This window comes from Homo sapiens, chromosome 19 (assembly GCF_000001405.40).
Source record: "Homo sapiens chromosome 19, GRCh38.p14 Primary Assembly".
Classification (NCBI taxonomy): domain Eukaryota; kingdom Metazoa; phylum Chordata; class Mammalia; order Primates; family Hominidae; genus Homo; species Homo sapiens.
The window spans coordinates 7,619,131-7,629,758 of NC_000019.10; the positions used below are offsets into that span (position 1 = coordinate 7,619,131).

At 61.0% G+C, this 10,628-nt stretch overlaps 1 protein-coding gene across 1 annotated transcript, besides 1 other annotated feature; it reads right to left on the reverse strand.

The window, feature by feature from the left end:
• Positions 1-394: 394 nt before the first annotated feature.
• XAB2 (XPA binding protein 2) lies at positions 395-10,415 on the reverse strand. Its single transcript, NM_020196.3, has 19 exons — positions 10,347-10,415; positions 9,020-9,168; positions 8,598-8,721; positions 8,113-8,310; positions 7,006-7,140; positions 6,750-6,914; positions 5,171-5,315; positions 4,601-4,752; positions 4,040-4,159; positions 3,632-3,763; positions 3,400-3,531; positions 3,201-3,314; positions 2,005-2,167; positions 1,716-1,906; positions 1,417-1,539; positions 1,145-1,316; positions 816-945; positions 617-726; positions 395-517 (listed from the first exon to the last, which is right to left on the reverse strand). Exons 1-19 carry the CDS (start codon positions 10,395-10,397, stop codon positions 456-458), a joined length of 2,568 nt encoding a protein of 855 aa, NP_064581.2. The 5' UTR covers positions 10,398-10,415; the 3' UTR covers positions 395-455.
• Positions 10,327-10,446: an enhancer, noted in NCBI's record as "active region_13888". NCBI's record gives its function as "activates an Ori minimal core promoter by ATAC-STARR-seq in GM12878 lymphoblastoid cells {active_cell/tissue: GM12878}" and the evidence as "EXISTENCE:reporter gene assay evidence [ECO:0000049][PMID:35858748]".

The following is a 10,628-nucleotide window of genomic DNA, read 5'->3' on the forward strand; positions in this document are numbered from 1 at the left end:
AGAGCCTGCCTGACTCCAAGACTTGAGGGCAAGGGCCAGTCCCTAGTGGGGAACAGACAGTGGGTGCCACCCCAGGGAGGCGGCAGCTGCCTGGGGCCACAGAAGGGCTCTGAGAGGCAGGGGCTGGCGAGACCTGGGCAGCCAGGGGCTGGATTGCCCTTCCCAGGCTACAGAGGCTCAAGGAAGTTTCCGGGCAGGACCCACTCCAAGGCCCCAGGCAGCGGAGGGACTGGCCTCTCGAGTCCAGAACTGGCTCTGCGGGGTGAGGCCGGGCAGTATCTGGCCTGGGGCCCAGCCGCCCCACCTCCCACAGCAGCCAATCCCGGCCCAGGGCCAGGCACTCCTGAGCTGTACTCCCTCGGGCACCTGGGCAGCAGGAAGGAGGCTCAGACCATGATGTACAAACGTAGCTGTATTGGGGAGGGGGTGGGGAGGGGGGATGGGGGAGGGACGGGTCAGTCTTCCTTCAGGCTCCCAAACACTGCGGCTGGCACGCTCTGCTGCTCCAGCCGAACCTCTGTGGGGAAGGCGGGAGCCAGTCACCCTCCTGGCGTTGGCCTGTCCCCCGAGGCCCACCCTGGTAATGCCACCGTCCCCGCCCCAGCCGGGCCCTCACCGTTGGGCTCCAGGTCCATCTCGTCCTCGTCCTCGTCCTCGCCCAGCTGGATCTCCTCGGGGTTGACCTGCTGTGCCAGCTCTGCCAGCTCCTCCCGGGAGGCGTCACTCCTAGGGACGGGCCATGCTGCCTCAGTTCCCCACCCCGGGCCCCCTTGGGACCTGTCCCAGTCCTGTCCCGTCCAAGGATCCGCCCTCACCTCACGAACAGGATCTTGCTCTGGGCGCGCAAGGGCTGGTCACGCTCCGCCTCAGCCGCCAGCTGCTCTGCCCGCTGTTCCAGCAGCTTCATGTCGTCCATGCCACTCTGCCCAGGGGCCAGGTCAGACACTAGGGGGTGGGAGCAGGGGGTCAGCGCCACGGGGGCCCCTCCCACACATCGGACGTTGCACTATCCCAGTCCCCCAGGTGATGGCCCAGCCCTCAAGGAGATTGCCATCAGGATCCGAGGCTCCCAGACCCGGAAAGCCCAGGTCAGGCCGGGCTGAGATGCCCTGGATCAGGAACTCAGCCAGCTGGGACGGCTCACCGGTGCCCGTGGCACTGCCCGAGACCTTGAGCATCTGCGAGGCCATGAAGTTGACCTGCGTGTTGTACGTGGCCTGCACGCTGCGCCGGATACGCAGCATTTCCTTGATGGTGTCCTCATTGCCATGCCGGACCTCAAAGTCCTTCCACGTCTGCCAGAACGCGCCGGTCGTCTGCGTGGGGGGCAGGGCAGGGGTGGGTGTGTGTGCCCGTGAGCTGGCTGACTCCGCCGCAGCCCCCAACCCTGATACCCGTCCCTCCCCACAGCCCTACCCGGGGGTCACAGATCTGGGAGCAGAAGCTGTAGATGGCCCGGGCGCGGTCAATCTCCCCGAGCTTGCACTCCATGTCTGCAAACCGCAGGCACATCTCACGCGCGTGCTCGTCCGACAGCACCTGGACACCGGGGTTGGGGAGGCCGGGAGTGAGGCCGGGGTAGCTCGGGGGCTCCCAACACACCATGGCCATCCCTGTGCTTCCAGAAGGCTCCTCCTCAGCCCCTCCCACCTGCCTGGACCCCTTCCGTCTGCTCAGGGACCTCTGGCCCCGGCCCAGCCCCCCACGGTGGGTACCTCAATGGCCTTCTGGTAGATGCCGCGGGTGTGGGTGACCCCATAGATCTCGGCCGCCCGCTTGATGTAGATGTTGAACATGTCATACTGCTGGGCGGGCTCCACGGCCCTGGTGGCACGCTCGTACACGGCCATGGCATGCCGGGCCAGGCCCCACTCCTCCTCCAGCTGTGCGTACAGCAGGTACAAGGCTGGGCGGGGTAGGCGGGGAGAGGGGAGCACGGTCAGCCGGGGCCAGTCAGAAACCCAGCCCGCCCGCCACCCCCCCCATGCCCTCTGCCCGCCTCACTCTTGGCATATTTTGGGGGGCAGCCGTCCAGAGCCTGTTCAAACAGGTCCCGTGCCCGCTCCAGCTTGCGGCCCCCATAGCGGGCAATGAATTTGGTCAGGTAGGTGCTCCAGATGTCGGACACGTTGGGCCACTTGAACAGCGAGATGCCGCGCTCGTACGCCTGTTACCAGAGGGAGAGTCACATGTGAGAGTCTGCAGATAGAGACCACCAGGCACCCGGGATGTCCTTGGGTGGCGTCTGTAGGGAGCCTGCCAGGAACTCCCTTGGGGCCCTTCCCTGTCCACGCCTCCCTGTCCCTAATGGCAGTTGTGGGGGTCTGTCCTCTGCACTGTCTCCCTCTGTGAGAACCCCAAGAACAGGGGTGCAATGGGACCTGCTAAGCACAGTCTGGCCCCATAGGAGGTGACATGATGGGTGAAGGTGGGTGGCTCCCCAGCTCCGCTGACGCTGGCTGCCTGTCCCCAGGGAGAAGGCCGCACCCCCTGACAGAGGGGCAGGCAGTAGCACGCGTATGCATGTACGACCTCCCCATTTGTGTATCTGTATAATGCCCACACGATCCATAGAAACACACACTCAAACATGACTGCTCCGGCCGCGGGACATGGCCTTCCCACGGACACGCAACCCACCCCCTGGACCCCACAACCCGTCTCCTGAGCAGCGGGGCAGGGAGAGCCCGCACACACTGGCACCAACACCCTCCCCATGAGTCATGGGTGCACGTGGAAGTAGGATTCTGTGCCTGCTATGGAATGAACTGTGCCCCCCTCAAAACATTCATATGCTCAAATCTTAACCCCCAGTACCTCAGAAAGTAGATTCGTTTGAAGATGAGATCACTAAGTTAAACTGAGGTCGTTAGGGGCCACCTAATCCATTATGACTGATGTCCTTTATAAGAAGAGGAAATTTCAAAAGTGACACACACAAAGAGAAGGCCACACAAAGACATAGGGAGAAGGCGGCTGTCTGTAAGCTAAGGAGAGAGGCCTCAGGAGGAACCAGCCCTGCCCATGCCTCGATCCTGGACTTCCAGCCTCCAGGACGGGGAGAAGCTAAATCTTTGTTGTTTAAGTCACCCAGTCTGTATACTGTGTCACACAAGCCCCAGCAGATTCGTAAGTTGCTGAGGACCCCTGGGGAGGGGACACTGCCATCAGGGGCCTCTGGGTCCACCCTAGCCCCTCACCTTGAAGCTCTCCTCGAAGTACTTGTGCTCCTCCAGGAACATGGCATAGTTGATGACGATCTGGGGTGTTGCGATACGCAGGTCCAGGATGCGGTCGTACACGGCCTTGGTGGACTGCAGGGGTGGGGATGGGAAAGGTTGGAGCTGGTTCTGGAGCTGAGTCCGGGGCCCCGTCCCTCCCCAGCCACAGGCAGCTCACCTGGAAGGTGCCGAGGCTCTCCTCCAGGTCGGCGAGCATGGACCAGACCTTCAGTGACTTGTACACGCGGTTCTGCACGGGCTCTGAACCATCAAAGTACTCGGCCCGGCGGGCAGGCAGCGCCGTGGCCTTCTGCAGGGGCAGACAGTGGCCGGGGAGGCGCTCAGGGGCTGTCCCTGGCCCTTGCCCTACAACCTGCAGCCCCCACCCCACAGCCTGGGCCTGTTCTCACTCGCAGCAGCCGCAAGGCCTCATCGTAGTTCTCGTGTCGGAGCTCCAGCTCTCCGCACTGACACCACACGCTTGCCAGGTCATCCACCTGCTTGAAGTTCACCTTGGTGGCCTTCTCCAGGATGACACGGGCCTGCCGGGGCGGGCAGAGGCGAGGCTGAGACCCTGCCCACCTGGACAGCTCCCACCATCAAGGGTCAGAAAGGTGACCATGCTCACAAACATACAGGCACAAACACACAGGCACACACACAGGCACACACATGCGTGCACATATGCATGCACCCAAATGCACATGCACACACACGTGCACACATCCATGCACAAATATGTACACACACATACATGCACACATATACAAGCACACACACATGCATGAACACACAGGCACACGCAACAGGGTGCTCACATCGTCCAGCTGTCCGTTGTCCTCATAAAACTTGGCAAACGCCACCCACAGAGTGTGGGGCTTGCCTGTGGCCTTGAAGGGGTCCACCGTCTGCACAGCCTCTGTGTAGGTGTTGATGATCTGGGGACAGGAGGGAGGAGGTCATATAGGACTCAGGACCCTGCAGATGACGGTCGGGGCAGAGCTGTGGCTCTGAGGGGTGGGGCCTGGAGGGTGCTGTGGCCCCTGTCGGGAGAGGCCAGAAACGAACTATGGCCCTTGACAATGGTCAGGACCAAGAGAGAGCTGTGGCCCTAAGGGGCGGGGCCAGGAGAGAGCTGTGACCCTCCAAGGGGCGGGGCCACGAGGGAGCTGTGGCCCTCCAAGGGGTGGGGCCAGGAGGGACTGTGGCTCTGAGGGGCGGGGCTCGGGCAGGAGGAGAACCCCAAGAACAGGGGTGGAATTGGACCTACTAAGCAAAGTCAGGCCCCTAGAAGGTGACATTATGGGTGAAGGTGGGTGGCTCCCCAGTTCTGCAGGAAACTGGCCCTCAGGGGTAGGACTGGGGCAGGCTTCATGTACCTCCCGGGGGCGGCCCTGGTGCAGGGCGACACGCTTGTGCCACTCGTGCACGTGGTGTGGGTTTTGGCGCAGCAAGACGCTGTTGAGGAGCAGGGGCCGCCGGCTGATGAGCTGCTCGAAGCGGGCCAGGCGCAGCTCCAGGTCCACATCATCTGGGAGCCGCGAACATGTTTGTCAGGGGCGGAGACCCAGGATGCAGGTCCCCGGATGCCACCGCCTCCACTCCCCACCCTCACTCCGCTCCAGCCCCCAGCCAAGTGCTCTGGGCCCTAGACACTCAGCTCGGGTGTCCACCTGAGCCCCACCCCCAGCCCCAGGTACTGTGGATACCCCCTCCTACCCCCACTGTTCCCCTAGCCCTCCTGCCCTGCCAGGCTCTGGCCCAGGCCTGAGAAGTGTCCCCATTCCTGGCTCCTTCAAGACCCCCACACCCCCTGCATCCACTCAGCCTCCTTCCCTGCTGGCCCCCAGCTGAGCCTCCCAGGGCTGCCTCACCTGAGATGTGTCCCGCCCCTACCGCTAATGTCCACTCAGCTCTCTCCCCACCAGCCGGGGCCCCCAGAGGCTCACCCTCCTCCTCGCGCCCCAGCTCCGAGGCGGTCTCCATCTTTGCAGCGATCATGCTCTCCTCGAACTGGGCGTAGCTGTCAAACACCTGTGTGAAGTCCCGCACGGTCATCACTGTCCGGATGGCCTCCTCGTACACGTCCCGAGCCTGTGGGGACCCAGGGAAGGGGAGGTGAGAGGAAAGTGGCGCAGGGGACAGGCAGCAGCACTCTTAGCACCAGCCTCAATGTGGAACCCCTGGGGGCCTTCTGGGTAGTGACGCATCCAGCACCTCTGGGTAGTGACCCCAGGACAGAGCCTCCGTGGAGCCTTCTCACCCCCGCCCTGCCCTGCACTGCCAGGGTGGTCTTGGGAGCTTCAGGACCTCCTCAGTAAACTGGGTGACTGCCCTTTGCACACAGTGACCTCAGGGCTCGACTGAGACACATGTGTGAAGCACTTGGCACCCAATAGGTGGCCAAAAACCCCCCAGCGCCTATGGGTCCACCCTGCAGGGACCCTCGCCTCAGCTCATCCTCCGAGGCCTCAGAATTTGCTCCAAAGCGTCCCTCTCGCTTGCCTGACCCTCTTCCCCAGCCCGCCTGTCCTCCACCTGGCTCGCCCACCCCAGCTCAGGTCCCCTCTCTCTACCCAGCCCTGACGGGTCTTGCCCTGCTGCCTCCGACAGCCTTGGCCTACACGTGCCCCTGGAAGGGGCGCTGCGAAGCGCATACCGCCCACACCCCACTGGCGGCTCCCCCAGCCAGGAGCATGGCCAGCCCGTTTGGCTTTCGAGGCTCCCAACCTATCTTCCCTGGGTTCCTGAGCCTCCCCGCTCTCGGCTCTGGCCCCCTCTGCACCCACCTGCCCCCAGGCCATCCCCTGAGCTTGCCACTCCACTGCCTGCCAAGAGCCACAGTCAGCTAACCCCTGAGGGAGTGGCCCTCACACCACGTACCTCCTCAGTGCTGTGCCTGCGTCACTGAGCTGATTGGTGACAGGCAGTAACTGTCACCCTGATTTTACAAATGAAGACACCCCACCTTAGTGGGGCCAAGGCCGCAGAGCCAGAGGGTGAACCCTGAACGCAAATGTGGCTGACTCCAAGGCTGACGTGCCTGCGGGCAGGAGTGCTCCCCCACCCTCAGCAGGATAGTAATCGTGTGCAGGGATATGCATGTCTGTCAAAAATGGCACTTTTTTTTTTTTTTTTTTTTTTTGAGATGGAGTCTCGCTCTGCCACCCAGGCTGGACTTCCGTGGCGCGATCGCAGCTCACGGCAACCTCCACCTCCCAAGTTCAAGCGATTCTCCTGCCTCAGCCTCCCGAGTAGCTGGGATTACAGGCGCGCACCACCATGTCTGACTAATTTTTGTATTTTTAGTAGTGATGGGGTTTCACCATGTTGGCCAGGCTGGTCTTGAACTGCTGACCTCAAGTGATCCTACCGCCTCGGCCTCCCAAAGTGCTGGGATGACAGGTGTGAGCCACCACACCCAGCCATAAATGGCATGTTTTCTGCCTGTGCATGTGTCAACATGTGTCCCCGAGTGTCGGAGGGAGACCCCGCCCCGAACCCAGAGCCCCGTGTGCCAGCATGCACCTTCTCGAAATGGCCGCTGCGGATGTAGTAGTCGGCGAGAGAACACCAGAGCTTGCCCAGCTGGTCGGTGAAGCGGGTGAGGCCCCCGCGGATGATGGCGTCCACATTGAGGGACTGTACCTTGTCCGGATTCTGGGAGATGAGGTCGCACAGCTCGTGCCACAGCTGCAGGGCATGGGGCAGTGGGGGAGAGTCTCAGGCTCAGTCATGGAGGGGGTGGCCCTCCCACCCAGTTGCCGGCTCCCGGCAGGCCCACCTGGTAGTTGGACTTGCCGGCCTTAGACACGAAACGCTCGTCGTTCACCACGGTGGCCAGGCGCTGGGCGGCCTCATCCAGCCGGTCACTTGACTTGAGGTACTCAATGTACTCCTCTGCACTCTCAGGACTCAGCTGGGGACCGAGCCACCCCTCAGGCAGTCAGTGGGGTGGCAGGGCTACGCCCACCTCCCGATTCAGTGGCTTCGGGGCGTCCCCCCCCACCCATTTATGAGTGTCTTGGGCAAAAGCAAGCCCTGTCAAACCAGCCTCAGCCCCACTGGTCCAGCCCGGTTCCTACTGGTCTAGCCTTGGCCCCACTGGGTTAGGCTCAACCCCCTGTGGGTCCTGCCTTGGCTCCACTGGTCCAGCCTCAGTCCTGACTAGACCAGCTGTGGACTTTTTGGGTTAGCCTTGACCCGCAAGGGCACAGCCTTGACTGCGGTGGTCCAGTCTCAGCCCCAATGGTCCAGCCTTGGTCCTTTTGGGTTAGAATTGACCCCCAACCCACAATGGGTCCAGCCTTGGCTCCACTAGTCCAGCCTCAGTCCTGACTGGTCTAGCCTTGGCCCCTTTGGGTCAGCCTTGATCCCATGGGTCCAGCCTTGACTATAGTGTCCAGCCTGGGCCCCACGGGTCCAGCCTCAGTCCTGACTGGTCCAGCTTAGAATCCAAACGTCATAAAACAGATACTTTAAGTTTGAGCAAACCATGCCCCACTCCCGCCCGGCTGGTGCTTCCACTCTCCACCCTGCCTGCTTCTCCCCACCCCTATTCCTGGCCCTCTTCATGGCTGTGGTTTTACTCTAGTTCATGCCATCAGCTCATATGCATCTGTCTTCCTACTTAGACTAAAAGCTCCGTGCAGGCAGGGAGTGTCTTAGTCACACTGTCCTCAGCACCCATCGCTATGCCTAATGTGAAACCAGTGTGAACAAACTATTTGGAAAATAAAGACATGAATCACGGACAACAACAAAACACATGCATCTCCAGGAGCCTCTTCCCACATCCCGTCTGCTGGGTGACATCCTACGCGGAGCTAGTGTCACAGTGAGGCCGTTTCTGGAAACTAACCTGGGGAACCAGCGCACCTGCTAGGCTCACCTTGAGGAAGCGCCGATAGCCTCGCACAGCTGTCTCAGGCAGTGGGTGTGAGCGCAGGAAGCGCAGATACAGGGGCCAAATTCGAGAGTGCTGCGTGATGGGCAGTGCCCGGAGGGCACGGTCGAAGGTGCGGCGGGTGTGTGTGACGCGCCCCTGGTCCATGAGGAACTGGCAGTAATCTAGCCACAGACGAGGCATCTGGGGGTGTGGGGAGAGGCGGCTGGGGCTAAGCCACGGACTCCATGGCCTGGCCACAGACACTCGATGTCCTGTGGCTGAGCCACACCTGGGGCCACCACATAAATGCGGCGGGACCCAGAAACCCCCAGCTCCAGGACTGAGTCCAGCCCAACTTCCCATGCAAAGAAGCAACAGGAATCCAAGCCCCCATCCCTAACATGCTGAGCCCAGCCCCTGTCCCCGCCCCACCCACCACCATGGACTGAGCTCCACTTCCCGATTCATCCCCTCGCCGAGCCCCAAACCTTGTGCATGAACACAAAGGCCCTCTCATGACAGTTGTTGACATCTTCATAGGCAGGGTCGGTCACACAGCGATGCTTCACCTGTGCCCGACGCGCCTTCAGGTATCGGTACCAGAGTTTGTAGCTGGGGAATAGGAGGGGACAGATGCTGATCGGTCAGCTTTATGGACACCCCCAGAACCATTTGCCCTGCCCCAGTTGGCAAATGTGGGAAGAAGGGGTGTGGGAGGGGTGACATGTCTCAGCAATGACAGGGACAGACTGGGACATCAGAGAAGGTGTGCTGACCCATCAAGGGATGTACAGGTCAGTGATGAAACACGAAGCAATCACCCGGGACCCGGGACCCACTTGGCAGTTTTGTTATAACTGGACCAGGTGGGGTGGGGGCTGGTGGGCAGGGCAGCTGGAGCCATTCCCACCTGCAGGGCAGCAGCTTGAGTGCCCGCTCGTATAGCTGATTGAGCCTGGGCTTCGGGGCGCCCTGTTTGAACTCGATGTAGCGAAGCCAGCATTTGACAGAGAATTGGTTCCGCATGATTTCCTCCTCATAGGGGAGGTCCTCTTCCTCCTGCCAGGGCCAGGGAATGGGAAGAAGAGAGGCCTACCCTCAGAGCCTGTGTGCAGCACCATCCCACTGCTGGGGCTCAGGTCCAAACTCCGGACTTTTACCTAGATCCCACCACCCACCAAGGAAGTCAGGTCACCAGATGCCCAGGCACCAAACCAGATGCCCGACACCAAGACAGTGGCCCAGACCTTTACCCCTCAGAATTCAACTACCCAAAATCGAACCCAAATCATCAGACTTCTCAGTCATTAGGGCTCTGGGCCAGGAATGAGTCCGCATCACCACTCGCTTTCTGCCCCAGATGGTCAGACTCCTTAGATACCAAGGCCCTGGCCCAGATGCCAGTCCTGGACACCAGACCCCACTTCTTCAAAACGTGCCTCTTCCCAGACACCAGGCCTTTGGCCCCTCAGACTCCCACTGTCACCATCTGACCCATCTCCACCCCAGGCCCAGATGACCAGATCTTTACCCCAGCCACCAGGGCTCTCAGGTCCAGATTCCAAGCCACTAGCCCCGCCCCCAGGATCCCACTAGCCAGCGTCTAGCTCAACTCTGCCCCAGAAATTAAAAGCTAGGCCTTTATCTCACAGGAGGAGTTATACACCAGAAGCCAAGCCTTTAACTCTGCACACCAAGAATCTGGTGAAGATGTCACGCCTCTACTCCAGAGAGTAAGTATTTCACTGGCCATCGCCTGACAAGCTCCACATCACCAGGGTTCTTCTAGCCTGGCCACCACCCCAGAAACTGTCATGCTGCAGTCCAGGCCTAGAGACCGCTATCCAGAAAACCAAGCCTTCATCCCAGAAACCAGAACCCTGGCCTCGTAAGCAAGCCTTTACTTCAGACACCGATCTTCACCTCTCAAGGTTCAGTTATGCGATCTTCCTCCTCTCCCATTCCCTGCACGCCCCCATTTCCGCCCCTGGTTCGGGAGGCTAGACGCTTCCCTTCGACAGTGGTTTTCTACTCAGACCCGAAGATACAACACCATATTTTTACTCCTGGACAGTTCGGTGCGGACATGACGATCCGGTCTCTGGCCCATTAGGGTTCCCAGACCTTGGCCTGGCAGTTTCGGCCTAAATCTCCTTGCCGACCCAGCCTCGATCCCCTGCGGCGTCCAGGTCCCAATGCCCCAACGCAGGCCACCCCCGGCTCCTCTGTGGACTCACGAAGACAAGGTCCGGCCGCTCGGGCCGCGAGAGTCGCGCCATCACCACCATTTTTCTGGATGCCCAGGTACAGGAGAGAGTCGCGCGCTTATGACGTCTACCACTGACGGCCCGCCCCTCCGAGCCAGACCCGTTTTCTATTGGTTAAATCATTTTTGACGGACAGGCCCACGTTATTGACTTCTTTTCGACGACGCCAGCGACCGGAAGCAGAATAGAGGCGCCAGAAGATGCGCCATCAGGATACACATTGGCCAATCAGCTTCAGCAATGGAGCGTGCA